General features: G+C 36.2%; 1 protein-coding gene across 11 annotated transcripts in view; it reads right to left on the reverse strand.

The window, feature by feature from the left end:
• PRKG2 (protein kinase cGMP-dependent 2) overlaps positions 1-18,104 on the reverse strand; it is a 130,467-nt gene that overhangs the window by 43,661 nt on the left and 68,702 nt on the right. For 7 of the 11 annotated variants that reach the window (XM_017008415.2, XM_017008416.2, XM_047415963.1 and 4 more), the window contains 6 exons: positions 17,854-17,922; positions 13,202-13,300; positions 11,764-11,917; positions 9,503-9,639; positions 6,363-6,452; positions 4,125-4,266 (listed from right to left, as the gene is read on the reverse strand). In XM_017008415.2, the coding sequence (XP_016863904.2) occupies positions 4,125-4,266; positions 6,363-6,452; positions 9,503-9,639; positions 11,764-11,917; positions 13,202-13,300; positions 17,854-17,922 (691 nt within the window). Of the gene's footprint in view, positions 1-4,124; positions 4,267-6,362; positions 6,453-9,502; positions 9,640-11,763; positions 11,918-13,201; positions 13,301-17,853; positions 17,923-18,104 lie in introns of those variants that run through there. The other 4 variants (NM_001282482.1, NM_001282485.2, NM_001282483.1 and 1 more) reach the window with 3 other exon arrangements.

Raw genomic sequence — 18,104 nt, forward strand, 5'->3', positions numbered from 1 at the left:
TGAGAAAAAAACTTCTGCAGCTAGCTCAGTGTCTGCCCAAACGGCCACCCAGTTTTGTGTTTGAAACCCAGGGCCCTGATGATGTAGGCACCCGAGGGAATCTCCTGGTCTGTGGGTTGCAAGGACCATGGGAAAAGCTTAGTATCTGGGGCCGGAATTCACCATTCCTCACAGCACAGTCCCTCATGGCTTCCCTTGGCTAGGGGAGGGAGTTCCCCAACCCCTTGTGGTTCCCAGGTGAGGTGACATTCCACCCTGCTTCAGCTCACCCACTGTCTAACCAGTCCTAATGAGATAAGCTGGGTATCTCAGTTAGAAATGCAGAAATCACCTGCCTTCTGCATTGATCTCGCTGTGAGCTGCAGACCAGAGCTGTTCCTATTTGGCCATCTTGCCAGCCACCATGAAGTGGTTTTTTAAGATGCTGACCATTTTAAAAAATTGATTTGTCTTTTTATTAGTGATTTGTAGGAGTTCTTTACATATTCTAGATACAAGCCTTTTGTAATGTAAATATATATTGCAAATATTTGTATTCTAAGAAATATTGGCCCACCTCAAATTGTGAAAATATTACCCTATGTTTACGTCTAGGTGATTTACAGGTCTAGGATTCATCTAGAATTAATTTTTGTATATGGTTTGTGGTGGGATTTAGGTTAATTTTTTTCCACATATGGATATCCAGTTGTTTCAGCAATGTTTTTTGAAAAGATTCTTTTGCTGACTGTACATGTTTATTTCTGGACTTTATTCTATTAGACTGAGTTATTTGTCTTTTCCTATACCCATATCATACTGCCTTGATTACTGTAGCTTTATTGTCTTGATATTGATAGTACACATTCTTTAATTTTGTTCTTTTTCAAAGTGTTTATCGACCCTTCTAATCATTTTGCATTTCTATGTAAATTTTAGAATAAACATCTCCATTTCTAAAAAAATGGCTGCTCAAATTTTTAATGCAGTAATATTGAATCTTAGAGAGTAGCTTATCAAATATTGAATTATCTAATCCATGAATATAGTATATCTTGCCATTTAGGTTTTTTTTCAGTGATATTTTGTGGGTTTTAATGTAAAGGTCTCATACTTTTTACATATGAAATTTACTCAAAATTATTTTATAATTGTTAGTGTTATGAAGATTATTTTGTTTCACTTATAAATTTTTATTGCTAGTATATAAATGCAGAATTTATATTTGTGTATTACTTTGTACCTATAATCATACTTACCTCTTGTTTCAAGTACCTCTTTGGTAGAGTCTTCAGACTTTTCTAAATAAAAATTCACATTGCAAATAAAAATAGGTAACTTCTTCCTTTATAATATTTAGGGGTTTCATTTATCTTTCTTAGTCTAATTTGCTAAGACCTCTATTACAATGTTAAATACAAGTGATAAGAGGAGATATTTTTGTCCTGTTCACAACCTGATAAAAAATGCTCACTACCTTACCATGAGGTACAATTTTAACTAGAGGTTTATTCCCCATTCCTTATACACTGAAGAATGTCCTGAAGTGAACAGCTGTATTACAGCTGTTTTAATGTGGATCTCACCCAGCACGGTTTTCTTTTTACAGAGCTTGAATATCTACTCTTTGTTTCTTTTCAATGCCTTCAATTATGATTAATCTTATCAAGAGGGTAGTCCAATGCAAGCTACTCCGCCATTAATGACAGCTTTCATTGCATATATAATTTCAATCATTATACTCTTAATTTCTTATTAGATGCTTTGTTAGTTTCCTTCCATATCTGTTAGATCTTTTTTGAGTTTCTGATCCTTGCTCATTTTTTAACCCTCTCTTAGTTTTAAAACATATTAGATGTATTTATTTTATAGTCTGTATCTGATTACTCCAATAAATGAGGCACTTATGTGTCTGCTTCTGCTCTTTTTGTTTCTGGAAATGAATGCCTATGGTAGCTTTTTTCCTCATACATTCATGTTTTTTAATGCTGGCTTATGTTCCCTAGAACTTTAGATCCAGTAGTTCTTTGTGTCCTGAGTTGAGAGTATATTCTTCCAGAAAGAATATACATTGATTCTTGGGAACTTGGGCATGCCACCAACATAGATTCATTTCATTTAAATTCTTGCTTAGATTTTTCCATCCTTGAAGACTGGGCACCCAACCTCCACTAAGACCAACCTGTGGCCAAGAATTCTTAGGGATAGGTTTCTATTCCTCTACCAAGAGCCAATAATGAGAAAAGCATGTTTCTTTGCATGTAATCTGTCATTACAAATTTGATATTTTTTTCTTGTTTCCTATTTCTCCAGCAGTTTAATGTATGTGATTCCTGGTTTCATGCAATGTTCTCTGATTCACCTACCCACACTACATAAGTCCAACGCTTGGTCTCCTGTTCCCAGAGGGCACAGCTACTAAAATCAAACCTCTAGACCACCTAGGATTGCTAGGTGCATGTAAGATGGCAGCTTCAATGTGTGATTTCCACCAGATACTGCTGCTCAAGTTTGATTTCAAACCCCAGAGGAATTCTCATGTTGTCTTATAAACTCAGCCATATATTTAATACTGCTTCTCATGTTTCATCCAGTAGACATTTTGTAGTAAGAGGATTTCAAGGTACATAGTTTAATTCATAGCTAGAAATTGAAATATTTAATATTCACTTTTTAATCACTGAAGGCTATAGTTCTTACTCTTTGTTTAGCTGATTGGCAAATGAATTAGCAGAATGGATAACAGCAGTTATTTATTGACCTCTATGCCTACACATGTGAAATATGTTTTTTTTAAAAAAAAGCATCTCTATGCCTATACATGTGAAATATATAGCTATTTTTTTTTAAAAATAGCTTTTTAAGAAAAATCAGTTATGAGAAAAAAGAGATGGAGCTACTGAATTGTCTGCATCCCTCATGTTGGTTCTACTTTTACAATATTCCAAAGAGTTTCTGTAAAGAGATGTAGGAGGCATAACCAATGAAGGAATTGTGAAGAACAGAAGTGATTGGGGTCCTGTGTTAGTACCTCACCAGTTCTCAAAGCTATCTTTCATGGATAAAATAAAGCTTGAATGATTAAAAGTGTTTCTTGGAAGTTAGCCAGATTTCACATGAAAGGGCTTTTATTTTACTCTTTTACCACAGAGAAAAATATCTTAGCATTTACACATAATAAATTTAATTCATGTGGCTGAATTATACAACTATAACATGTGGGTGATGAAACCTATCTAACCTATCTTACAGATTGTTAAATAGGTTAATTGTAAAAGGTTTAGCATAGTAGCTTTAAATATAGTAACTGCCCATTAAATGCGAGCTATTTTTATTTCCTTTTATAAAAATTCTGAAGTGAGAAACTTTTAATATCTTTGTAAATGTTAAGTTCAGAAATGGTTTAACGTCCTTGAAGTAAAAATGGACTCAGGTAAAAGCTTGGGTTCCCCATTCTAATGGGGTTCCTTCCCGAGGCCCAAGGCGCCTTGCTTTCTCCTCAGTTGTGACTGTCCAGTCTATTATAGCTTCTCACTGAAAGCAGTTTATGTGACTAATAGTAATTTTTTCTTTAGTGTAGCATGCAAAGGAGTCATATTAGGGACCAGCAGATTACAAAGATGGACAGCCAGGAAAGTCTGTGTCCTCAAGAAACCTGTACTCTAGGATTGTGATGTTAAACCCTGGGGCCCCAGTATCATCACCTCAAAATATTTCAAGAAAACTACTAAAGTCTCTATGTTTATCTTCTCTTTATATATACACAGTGGATATCTTGGGGTAGAAATCATATTATCTTCTTTTATTATTCCTTATAGCCACTCCCTATGTATAGCAAGAATCAATTTAAAAATAGTTAAAATTATTAAAAATTAAACAAAAATACTGATAAAATCCAATTTTAAAGGCATTCTATTATGTGAACCTTCAGTAGGAGTCACAAATATGGTTAAACATTAAATCCTTAGGTCAAAAATAATGTACTCATAACATTGCTCCCAGTATTGTCGGGAAATGTCAAAGGCCATACTGCCAAAGAGAGAATAACAGCTGCACTAAAATTAAAAAGAAAATTGCAACTAGAACACAACTTTTGCCAGGGGAAATATCTCATATGAGACTGTAAGTGAGAAAAGTTGTCTTACCAATTTAAGGTAACCCTCAGCATCTAGAATTAAGTTTTCTGGTTTCAAGTCTCTGTAGATAATACCTAGTCGATGCAGGTAATCAAATGCTTCTGTCACACAAGCAACGCAGAATTTGGAGGTGGGTTCATCAAAGCTGCCTCTGCAACGAAATCATTTTCCCTCTTAATACTTTGGATACACATCTTTGGTGCTGTTCTACGTGTCAAATCAATTATTGGATTGGCAGGTTTATGCAATATAAATATTTTGCAGGGTATCAACAATAAAATGTATTTTATACTACCCATGAATTAAGCTGTTTGCAGATCATAAAGCAATTCAGGGAGATATGTGATACAAACAAGAACTACTTCACTAAAATTAAAATATCAACAACTGTTTTTGGTAATCACACATGGACATGTAAAAGAGAAAAATCCAAAAACAAAGATTTTCTTTAGACACCCATCACAAACTCTGGAGAAAATGCTACTATAGTGGAGAGCTTGAACCAGACTTTTGCAACTTATTGCTTGACTTAAAAATGACTCAAGTGATTATTTTCATTTCCTGTTTGCATAGCACGTCAGAGTAACCCCCGTAAAAATGGAATCATAAGTCTTTTCTGTTTGGGGCCCCTTGATCTTTTATTAAAGTCCCCTCTGTCAGCACTGTGTGTAGTTTTACAGACTGGATTTTTTTTTTTTAATGCAGTGGTGATTTGCCACATGATCTCACAGAGAAACATGGCTTTGGAGTGACAGAAACTGGGTTTGACTCCTGTTTCTTTCACTCACTATATCCTTGAGAAAGTTGTTTAACTGTTCTGAGGCTCAGAATCCATATCAGTAAAAAAGGTTTGATACTCACTTAAAAGCATTTTCAGGATTAAGCACAGTGCCTAACAGGTAGCAGTAACTCCCTTTTCTAAAATGATTTAGATTTTCTCAACAAATTTGCCTATTGAAGCAAAGATAGAAGACGCTAATGCATTTGCAGGTATCACAAAAGTCTCCTCACCCTTCCAGGTTCTCCCCATTCAAATCTGTCCAATGAAATGTTCATGATACAACACATTCATCTTCTACTCAGATGCTCAATGTTCTTTCCTTGCCTAAGTCAGTGATTCTGAACCATAAATGCACATTAAAATTGCCTGAGAAGCATTTAAAAAATCGTTTACTGGACCCCATCCCAGATTAAATGAATCATAACCTCTGGCATTAGGGCCCAGCATTTTTACTTTGTAAAAGCTTTCCACGTGAATGCAATGTGTGGCCAACTTTGAAAAACACTGGCACAGGTCTGACTGTAAATATGTGGCCTTGCATCAACTCCCACAATCTAACGCCAACCCACGTTCTCATGTCTTCTGTTGCCCTTAACTTCTACCCAAATTCTTCTGTTCACCATCCACAGAGAGACATAATACTACCCCAACTTCCCTGCTTTGTCTTAAAGCAGTTTCCCTGCCTCTCTGCCTTTCCAAATTTGGGTCATGTTTAGAGTTTAATTCGAATCCTTCCTCTATCATCACATTCTCTCTCTCTCCCCTCCTCGGAGCTCACCATCTACGACACTATTTGGCATTTAACTACAAATTTCCAACTTCTTTGTCATCACTTAGTTTTCTCACTAAACAATGAAATGTTTTAAAACTGTATACCTAATCTCCCAAGGAAACTCTAAACTCATTAGAGGTAAAGTTTCTACTTTTTACTCTTTTGGTTAGAAAAGTACACACTGTCTAGAGCGTCTCCTCCTGACCCCCACCGTGCACTATGAAGCCTTTTACATAGGTGGTGCTTAGTAAATATCTATGATTTTAATTGTGCAAAAATCACCCCCTTGTGTAAAACTGAATCTTCGCAGGCATCTTGCTCTGCTTTTCAGTGAGGGCTTACCCACTCCCCACCCCCACCTTTGTTTATCACACTGCTTCTGCTAGGAGATTTGGAATCAGAAACACCTGGGTTTTTACCCTGACTCTGCTTTATACTAGTCATGTAACCTGGGATAGTTCACCTCCTCTCTAGTCTGGGATTCTTTACTTCCTAAAACAGAGATGACAACAACTACCTTACGTGGTGTTACGGCACTATTGTAGCATTAGCCAAGACAATATCACTATTACTACTTTATTTTATCAAGGGATATTTTGTTATAATAATTTCCTAATGATTTCCTCTATGCCTTTTTTAATGATTATAAATATAGCCCTTAGGCCAGATGTGAGTATACAAACTTTTTCATTACCTGTCCCTTAATATACTCCAGAGCTCCCCACCTAAGCAGGCCTCCAGAAGCATGTATACATACTTATTGTCCTTGAAAGTACGATATAATCTGTGAAGACAGATAAAAACATGGTTATTATTGGAAATCTAGTTTAAAAACCTTTTTAAAGTTGCTTAGAACTATCATCATAACATTAGGAACAATGATACTCATCTCCATATAAATACCCCACAACTACACTGGGCTTCTCGCCAAATCCTCTTTGATTTCCCCACTGCCTTGCTTCTGCTCCTGTGGATCTCACTTAGATTGGCCTTTCTCTAACCACAGACTGAACTTCTTAATCTCAGTTTTACCGTAAAAATGTTATCCATTCTTCAGGGCCAACCTCCAAGGCCATCTTTTTAACAAAACATCTCATTATCCCACCTACCAAATATGTCCTCTCCTTTTTCCAAAACCTTAGAGACCTCTGAATATGTCACCTTTAAGATTTGCCTTGCATAGTAGTTATTCATGTCAATGTCTTATATCCCCTAGTTGGTTAATTGATGTTGGATTCCCCTGGAAATAGACTCTGAGACTGAAATTTGCAAGCAATCAGATTAGTGGGGAGTGCAATTGGAAACAACACCTGTGGGGAAGGGAGGAAGTAGAATTGGGCTATGTTTTAGTTTCGACAAAAGCCTCAGCTTCAAGAGGCTCTGCAGTTGTTGGATGCATGTCCCCAAAGAGAGAGTATGATCTTGAGCAAGGTGGTTCTCTTCACCAAATAAAAACAAAAACCAATGCCCAGAGAGGGACTGAGCTAGTCCTCAGCTGACAACCACACTCCTTGAAGCTGGGGGAATGGGGGCCTCAGTTCCGAAGCGGGACGTAGGCAGGGCATCACATTTCAACCTTGTGTAAAAGCAGTTTTGGGGCCTTAATCATCAAGAGACCCCCTTTTCTCCCTAGCACCACATCCAGACCAAAGCAGACAGTAGAACAGCCGTATCATACACAGATAGAAGAAGCAATCAGGTAAAGTGGTTCAAAGGGTGGGCTCTGAACCAAGCTGCCAAGGCTTGAATCCAGATCAGACATTTATTAGCTATGCAACTTCTGTCTTCTCATTGTTTCTCAATGAACATATATATTCATTTTACTCTATACAGATTACATATTATTATGTATATTATTGATATATATTCATTGAAAAAAAAATATCCATTTTATTCTAATTGACCAGTGAGATAAATGTGTTGATTATCTATACATATAGATATAGCTTAGAACAGCACCTGGTGTATGTTAATTTCTCAATAAATGTTGTCATTAATATTTATTCTTCATATTATTGCCTGACTACATGCCAGGCACTTTGGAAAGAGTTGAAAATAAGACAATGAATGCAATCTAATCCATGCCCTGAAGCTGCTCATCATAGCTTGTTAACAAAATATTAATTTTAAAAGTGCATCCATTCTGGGAACGTAATATAAAGATAATTGGATGACTCTCTATTGCCAGCACTGCCTGGGTTCAAACTTCTTTGTTGATCTTGGGGAAAAAAGTGGGTCTGGAAAGATGGATAGGGAGAAAGAGTCTTTTAAAGCATTTGATCAAAAAGCATAAATTCTAGTCATTGCAGGGATATTTTACATTACCCAGAAATCACTAAAACTACACTCTGGGGCATTATAACATATATGAAAGCATAAGATGGCTTACACCCCTACCCATGAATTCACAAGGATAGAAAGCTGTGGTCTATAATAATTAATATTTCTTCTGCAAACTCTTGTGACAGCTACAGAAAGAATAACTATTAGAAGATGGATGTTTTGGTACCTAGCTACTACTAGGACCAGGGTACATTCCCCCTTGGCTTCCCACATGTGCCCAAATGCTGCCTTCTGCAGAAATTCAAGATCAGGATGCTCTCTGAGGAGTTTCACACAAATCCTTGCTTCCCTAGTCCCCAATTCTGCATTAAGTCTGAATAAAATAACCAGTTCAAACTATTCCTCAATAATTTTATATTCATATATACATATACACACATACTCAAACACACATATATATATACGCACACACATTTTTGTGATGTTTACTCAAGAATAAAAACAGGCTGGGCGCAGTGGCTCACGCCTGTAATCCCAGCACTTTGGGAGGCCGAGGTTGGCAGATCACGAGGTCAGGAGATCGAGACCGTCCTGGCTAACACGGTGAAACCCCGTCTCTACTAAAAATAGAAAAAAAAAAAAAATTAGCCAGGCATGGTGGTGGGTGCCTGTAGTTCCAGCTACTCTGGAGGCTGAGGCAGGAGAATGGCGTGAACCCCAGAGGCGGAGCTTGCAGTGAGCAAAGATCACGCCACTGCACTGAAGCCTGGGTGACACAGCTAGATTCCGTCTCAAAAGACAAAAAAAAAAAAAAAAAAAGAATCAAAACAACTGGAAAACATCTGACCCCAGATCTCAAACTTCTAACATTTTTAGTACTGTTGCTGTGACTGGGTTGGAGAATCCAGAGTGGGGCCTCCTCCACCTCTTCTTTCTGTCATCTTGCATGGAAAGTTTAAAACAAGAGCCGAGTACTACTCAACCATACAAAAAAAATGAGATTCTGTCATTTGTAACAACATGGATGGAACTGGAGGTCGTTATGTTATGTGAAATAAGCCAGACAGAGAAAGACAAACATCACACGTTCTCACTTATTTGTGGGATCTAGAAATCAAAGCAATTGAATTCATGGAGATAGAGAATAGAGGAGTGGTTACCAGAGCCTGGGAAAGGTAGTGGGGAGACATGCAGGAAGGGGAGATGGTTAATGGGTACAAAATAAAATAGAAAGAAAGAATAAGATCTAGCAATTGATAGCACAACAGGGGCATCATAGTAACAATTTAATTGGACATTGTAAAATAACTAAAATAGTATAAGTAGATTGTTTGTAACACAAAGGATAAATGCTCAAGGGGATGGATACCCCATTTTCCATGCTGTAATTATGCATTGCATGCCTGTATCAAAACATTTCATGTACCCCATAAATATATATGCCTACTATGTACCCACAAAAATTAAAAATAAAAATAAAAATAATTTAAGTAAATACATAAATAAAGAGCCTGAAAATCCTAACTCCTTGGAAGCCAAGTGGTCACTTACTTCACAATGAATGGAGAGCACAGCTCCTCTAGGATCCTCTTCTCTGAGTAGACATGCTCCTGCTGCTTGGTGTCAACTATGTGCTTCTTCCTTATACACTTCATAGCAAAAGCAACATTCTCATTTTTTACTTTAACCTATGTAAGAAATGGAAAGATACCTCAAAATTAACTTATATCTATATAAAACACACTAATCAATGAGAGTTAAAACTGTTTCATGTTTAATTAGTATGGAAGCCCTTAGCCACTTATCCCTTTGAGAACTTTCATTCAAGTGTACACACTTCCCTTTCATCACTATTTCTAGAATAGTTCATCTATCTGGGATGTGGCTCTAAAATTTTTGTATTAAAGCAAAATAAAATTCTGTTAGACTTAATATTTAGATAGCTATTCTATTTTTAATTGGGTGACATTAAAAACTTTGACTAGAATTGCCTTTTTTTATTATTCACTTTGCTTTCAAAGCAAGATTTATTATTATTATTATTATTATTTTAAGACAGGGTCTCACTCTGTCGCCCAGAATGCAGTGGTGCAATCAGGGCTCATTGCAGCCTTGACCTCCTGGGCTCAAGCTATCCTCCCATCTCAGCTTCCTGAGTAGCTGGGACTACAGGTATAAACCACCACACCCAGCTAATTTTTGTATTTTTTATAAAGGTGGGGCCTCACTATGTTGCTCAGGCTAATTTCAAACTCCTGAGCCCAAGCAATCCTTCCACCTTGGCTTCCCAAAGTGCTGGGATTATAAGCATGAGCCACCGCACCCAGCCTAAGCTCTATATCTGTACCATCCAATATGGTAACTGCAAATCACATGAGGTTATGTAAATTTAAATTAAATAAAATTAAAAATTCAGTTCCTGAGTTATACTAGCCACTTTTCAAAGGCTCAACAGTCATATCTAGTTAGTGGCTACCCTATTAAATAGCACAGATATAAGACATTTCCCTCAGCACAGTTCTATTAAACAGTACTACTCTAGATGCACGATCAAGTATTTCCTAAAAAGGAAATAAACATTTTAAAATAATTTTTTGATAGATTTAAAACTCCATAAGCAGACTATGCTAGATAAGTAACTACATTGTGCAGAAATGGCTGCACTCCATATTTTGCTCATGTTTGCCATTAGTGCTGCCCATGACTTTTAAATCAATGGTGGATTTACTGCTTCAATTATTATTAGAAAACAGATCTCAGCTTTGTTAATTGAATCCTTTTGCCACAAACTTTGACGAAAAATACCACTGCAGACAGGTATTATCTTTATCTCTCCATAAGGTATAAGAGACATTACACACATTATTTATCCTAAGGAACATCTGTCCCTGCCCCCATCAGAGATGAAGCAAGGACTGGGTCTGAAGTGTACTGTCCAGACTCCCCTGACAGCATTTCAAATCTGCTCATGCCCAAAGCCAGCCAGCAGACCAACAGGTCAGCAGAGTTCCCAGAAGATAAGGTATGGTGAATCCTTAAAAATCTGATGGGCAAAGAAGGACTCGGTAATTGCCAAGGCCTCAGAGCCATCTGTACCCAGTAAGGCCACAGATCTCTATTCCACATTTTCCTTAGAATACTTGTTTGACAGTACCACTTTTGCTACTCCTTGGAAGCTGATAGCTCAGAAAGAGGGTGATGTGGAAGGCACAACTAAAATCAGGCTGTAAGTTCCCAGATATCCTGATCAACACTACAGAAGGCTTCTCTTCAAATATTCCCTTTCATTCATCTTCTTTTCTTTTCTCACAATACGAAATTTTGAGCAACCCAAAAACAAAATAATGAAGGTGAAATACAGACATGGTACTGGAGTTGTTTAAAGAACACAACTATAACATTGAATATTTCACCTCTATGGCATTTTCACTTGACACATTCTTCTTTTCTTTAGTGTATAGAGACTAAATGTGTCATGAATGTATATAGACACGCATTTGCTGTTAGAAAATACATTATTTTATGTTTCCTTTTGGACGTGCTTACTTAGTATATTGATAATCATCGAGAAGAAAATTCACAAAAGACGTGATGTAAGCTTGAACTAGCAGTTGATTATTACAAGTTACTTACTAGCACAGACCTGCTACTATACAATATACAGAGTGAAAAGTTTACTTTCTCAATTTCAGTTCAAAGCAACATTTAAGATAGCAGTAACAATTCATATATTCCTCCAAGATATGCTGGAATATAAAACAAAAAAAAAGTCAAAAGGCTTCTCTCAGATGCTTGAAACGTAAACCCCTTACAAGCTCAACTCTTCCGAACCCACCAACGCCCAGTGTTGCAATAATCTCAAGGTTCTGGAATGGGGATGATGAGGAAAATCTGGCCACCTTCTCCTTCAGCTGAATCATTTCCAGAGAGAGTGCTTTGGACAGCTTCCAGTTAGACATGGACCGCCTGTACAAGAGAAGTGAAACTTTACACACACACACCCATAATTAAGAAGGTGTCATGCCATACATAAATTTCACTCCTACGACAGTCTAATTTCTGCTGTAACTATGATTTATAGTTGCCACAAAGGCTATCCCAACTTTTATGGATCAGATTCAGTCCCACGCAGCGAGAAAACAATAGAATATACAAACATAAAACTCACACATATGCATATACCAGGAAATAGACGAATGCCAAGTTGAATCAATGAGAGGTAAAATGGGTATAGTTTGTGGTACTTAAAATGTACCTCTTAGGTTTCTTCTCAGTGTGGAAATTTTTTTTAACTAAAAATATATATACCTCAAAAAAGCTGTTAAAAAACAACCATGAAAAGCAGTCAATGAATGGGAATGAAACAAGGAAGCCACTTCCTTTGCTGCATGTACAGGAGAATGCCACATTGACAATCTTTCCCACGTTTTGCTAGTTTTATCAGATCTTGAAGCTTTGCATGGCTGAACCAAAATAACTGCTTTGTGAAATATGAAAAGTACATTTCTTACTTTATGTCTAAGTAATATCCATTTTTTTCTCTTTTAATTAAGGTTTACCGGTCTGGGTTACATATTCATAAATTATTACCACAAAAGGCCTTCAGCGTAAAAATTGCAAAAACATATGAAGTACTGATTGAATATTCTAATTTAATTCAAATTTAAGTTTTCTAAGAATTTTGACTATATGGCTTTGATAGCACTATCTAGTGAACATGTGCTTAAGCATTCACTCTAAAAAAATGTTTCAGCAAACAACTTTCAAATAATTTTCATTTAACAAAAGTAGAGTTTTCTAGTACACACAAAAAATTAATCACTATTACTACATTTAGAGACCTACCCAACCCCCTCCTCCACATATCCCTGGGCAATAGATTCCTTACATTTTGAAAAAATTCTAACTATAACCCTGCTCTTTACCTCTAATCAAATATTAATGTCTTTTTGAGCTAAGTCACCAGGCAACATAAAATATCCCTTTTGTAAGGCCCTGGATTAGAACACCTCTCCCTAACATTCCTACTCATCATCCAAAATAAAGGAGCAGACTATTTCTAATAGATAATATCCATTCTAGTGGAAGTGGTGTTGTCTTTGTGGAAGAACAATTCAAAAGAACTCTCCAGAATTTTCTAGTGAAGGCACATTAAAAGTTACCACACAGCAAGTCACACCCTCTGTCCCCTTCTTTATTTATTGGCTGCCAGAAGTCAGCTCCGGCTCAGGAAAACATTCCTCCACTTACTTCGCATGTCTTTTTTCATCATCACGGTTCAGGTTTGCCACATATCCTTCAAGGTATTTTTGCAGCTCTTCAAATGTACCGACAGTTTGGTTGAATGTTCTAAATAGATAGAATAAAGTAAAATGCTCCGTGCTGATAGTTACCAAGGCAACTTGACATTCTTCTAAGCTCATAAAACACAAGCTGGTTATTCCTGACTTTATAAATCATTTTTTAAATAATTTATGAAATATTGAAGTTGATGTAATATGTACAAGGGTTATTAAAAGCTATATATAATTGATCCTTTGATTTTATAAAAGCAAAGGGGCTATTAATGAGAACAGGAAACTTTTTTATAGTTTTCTGCCTTGTATTTAAGGTTATATATATATATATATTTTTTTTTTATTATACTTTAAGTTCTAGGGTACATGTGCACAATGTGCAGGTTAGTTACATATGTATACATGTGCCATGCTGGTGTGCTGCACCCATTAACTCGTCATTTACATTAAGTATATCTCCTAATGCTATCCCTCCCCCCTCCCCCCACCCCATGACAGGCCCCGGTGTGTCATGTTCCCCTTCCTGTGTCCAAGTGTTCTCATTGTTCAGTTCCCACCTATGAGTGAGAACATGCAGCGTTTGGTTTTTTGTCCTTGCGATAGTTTGCTGAGAATGATGGTTTCCAGCTTCATCCATGTCCCTACAAAGGACATGAACTCATCATTTTTTATGGCTGCACAGTATTCCGTGGTGTATATGTGCCACATTTTCTTAATCCAGTCTATCATTGTTGGACATTTGGGTTGGTTCCAAGTCTTTGCTATTGTGAGTAGTGCCGCAATAAACATACATGTGCATGAGTCTTTATAGCAGTATGATTTATATTCCTTTGGGTATATACCCAGTAATGGGATGGCTGGGTCAAATGGTATTTCTAGTTCTAGATCCCTGAGGAATCGCCACACTGTCTTCCACAATGGCTGAACTAGTTTACAGTCCCACCAACGGTGTAAAAGTGTTCCTATTCCTCCACAAGGTTTAACAACAATTTTTTAGAGAAGATAGTGGGAAGGGAACAGCCTTACATGATGTGTTTACTGAATCAACAGGTTACAGGGGTTACAGATTCTTTTAACTTTGCTTAATAAAGTTAAGCTATATATATTTTAAATCAAGAATAAAATTTATCTCTTGTCTCAAGATAACTCTCTCCATTTCACATTCCTTCATAATTAAATCCAAATCATTTTACCTTACTTTAGTAGTTCTCTGAGGATCAGCCAACATCTCATTACCTTTCTCACCCTTCCTGGATCACAGGTTTCTCATAGGCCTGATCTAATCACTCTGTCTCCTGTCCATGATCACTGGGAATTCTAACATAGTCCTATGCCCTTGAGAAAAAATAATCCTTTTCCTCACCAGTGAAAGGTCAACTTTCTTGATTACTTCCAATGCTTCCCTGCTTCTAACTCCAACAATCCATCTTGACTGGTAATTATTAGGGTACTTCTTTTCCCTACTACAAAATAGTATCCTTCTTAAAAGTAAAGACCATGCTTTAATCATCTTTGTAACATTTTAAGTACCTAGTACACAGTAGAATGAAAAGAGTGAGTTTACCTCAAAATACCTAAAATTAATAAGCCAGAGCCACCTCAATATTGTGCTGTCTCAACTTACTGCCTCTACCCATTTACTTGACAACCAATCTATATTTACTTTATTAAGCACATATTACCTACTGTGCAGGGTATTTTTCCTTTCCCCTCCAGATCTATTCTCTACTCTTTTCTAGCCTGTTCTATGGACTGACCTTTGTCGACTGAAGAGTAGTGAGACATAAAACAGGATGGCTATGAATTTTCTAATCTCCAATAGTTGAAATTTTCTGTTAAAAAGGAAACACTCTTACTTTGTTTTACTTTTATTTATTCTATACTTCACCATTATTTTGCTGGCTATTAAACTAACTGCAGTATTACTGTAAACAAATCTTATTTTCTAAATAGAGGTGAGATGGGTGCTATAGGTCTCTAGAAATTCTCCACTAACTAATCCTAAAGTCAAGTTTAAACAGCTACAAAATTGTTGCTGTGATATTCAAATAGCCTACATTAATTCAGATGCTATAGCCTGAGCAATAACTAATGAACTTTTTTTTTGAAATTTGTCCCAACAGTCAGTGATAGAGATGTGACAAATAGCATTTCCCATTTGTTTAGAGCTCTTGCCATACAAAAGGGTTATTTCATATTTTATCACATTTAAAAATAGGAAATATAACTCAAAGTTTAACTCTCCTTCTTGCACTGTAAGCAATCTAAGCCTTTGTTAAAATCATGAATTAAGAAAGAAGAAATAAAAAGTCATTGGCTTTCAGTCACTATATTTCATTGCAAGGATGGTGCCCTGTATTCAGCCACCATCTGGTGAGCACTTCCCATATGCCAAGGACTATGTCAAAGGCTGGCACTGCAACCACAGTGAACAAGTTACATGTTTCTGTATTTATGAAGCTTACAGAAGCATGGAGAGACAGATGTTAAATAAAACAATCAAGGTATTATAATGATATGACAAGGGTATAAAGGCTGCTATGAGAGCATTATTGTGGGATCTTATTCTAGTCTATAAGTCATAGCTAGGATGATCATATAATTTATCATCCAAGCTGGAATATATTTCTGAGTGAAATGATGTGTCAATATTAAATATGCTGGTGTAATCTGAACTGTCTCAGTAAATCCAAGATGTAAGTAAACCTAGTTATATCTGATAATCAGTTTGTCTTATCCACAGAAAATATTCACGTAATTTTTATGTCTCATTGTGCCTAATGCAATACTTTGTATATTGCAGACTCTAAATTATACACACATGAACTAAACATTTTAAAATTATAAACTGGCAAGTAACTTGTAAGCCATATAAAATTATTGCATCCTCTTTATGGATTATGAATACATGAGACATTGTATAAATATGTGGTGTATGTGATTACAATGAAGAAAAAAGAAATGAGCTCCTCCTTTCTATCCTATTTGTAGTCCTAGCATTTTGCATCCATTTATAATATTTTACCACACAGCTAATGCCACTCAGTGCTTGCACATATTTTAAGGAACATATATAGAAAACAATGCATTATTGATACAATACTGTACCAATATATTTTCCATTTGAGAGTTGGCATCCAAAGATTACCTTTATCTGAACACACTTCACACTTTTCTAGTCCTATGTTTTTGCTTGAGGGTTTTATTTCACCTAGGGTGACTTTGACATTTCCTCTTTGCCTAGAAAAGTCCTGTTAATACTTTAAATCCCTTTTCCACACCTAAAAATTAAAATAAAACCTTGACCACTTTACTGCATAGTGATTGCTCCTCTTTTTGAACACATGCTTGGGAGCCAACTGGCATGGTGGGAAGCATGGGGAAATGAGTTAGAAAGCCTGGACAGGGACGGCTCCAACACAGGGAGCACTGCTGGGGAAATTATGTAACCTACCTGGGACTCATTTTGTATCTGTAGAGGAGAGAATTAAAATAACTCTAAGTGATATTAAGAATTATTGTTAACATTTCAGGCATGTTAGCCTTATTGTGGTCATGCATTACATGTAATACTTAGCTTTTAGAAATGCAACTAAAATGTATAGATAAAATAATTTTATGTTGGGAATTTGCTTAAAAATAGTGTGGAGATAGCAGGAAGTGGTAAAGGGGTATAGATAAGGCATAAATTGATCATTGTTTAACTTGCATTATGGGTTCATGATACCATTCTATTTTTTGATATGTTTAAAATTTTCTATAATAAAAATATATTTTTAAATGCTCTAAAGTTTTTTCCAGCTCTATATCTCTAGACTCTATTTTCAATAAATGTTGTATTTAACAGTCAACTATATACTACCTTGTGATATCTGTTGTCATTTTATAATCTTTGTTAATATTTCATATGCGTATGCTCTATTTCTTTGACTACACTATGACTTTTCTGACAATGGCCTGCCTTTGGTATCACTGAATTTCCTTCATTTTGTCAAGTAGATAACCAGAAATATTGAGTTGATTAATGAGAAACCCAGGGGGGCAGATTCAAACATTATTTCAAATGAGTGATGCATATAAAATGAGACTTATTTTGAAGAATAACCTAAGACATTTAGAGATTAATATTGACACACATCACTTACAAATTACAACAAATGTTCAATTAAAGCCACTCTGGAAAAATATGTAGCTAATATATATTTTATGCTTTGAGAGAAGGTTTTGTTCAAAAATTGACCACTAAAGGCATTTTAGAAATAAATTATGTAATTGTTCACTATATTGTATGGAAGAAATCCATAAGCGAACGAATCAACTTACTTCCCTAGAAGATGCAGAATTTAAATCAGCCTATTGCTGATATTTATGTATAAACTCTGTACACAAAATATTTAGCCTTCCAGCATCTGCCCCTGCCACAGACCGATTCAGATCAGAAGGCCCTGTTCCTTCCCATGAATTTTAATAGAATGTACTTGCAGCTGAGATCGGCCAGTATTTCCAAGTGGTGATGAATGAGAAAACAGATCGGCCTTGAAGTAACAGAAGGCCAAGTCTTCAAAGGTGGCAGTGGCCTGCCTCCTCCAACATCAGTATACTCACTCTCGATCTATAACCAGGCATGCAACATCATTTTCTTCAGCAATAATGTTAGCTGACCTGACATCATCACTGCAAACAAAAATAGGAAAGTCAATTTTCACTATAATTAGAAATTAAACATCCACTTTTATTAGGGAATGTACTAACTTTGTATGAAAACACCACCATCACTTACACCTCCCAAAAACTGCTGCTTTTAAACATCATAATTTATATCCCCCCAAAAAAAGATTTGAAATGTGCCCCAGTAG

Source organism: Homo sapiens, chromosome 4 (assembly GCF_000001405.40).
Source record: "Homo sapiens chromosome 4, GRCh38.p14 Primary Assembly".
Taxonomy (NCBI): Eukaryota; Metazoa; Chordata; class Mammalia; order Primates; family Hominidae; genus Homo; species Homo sapiens.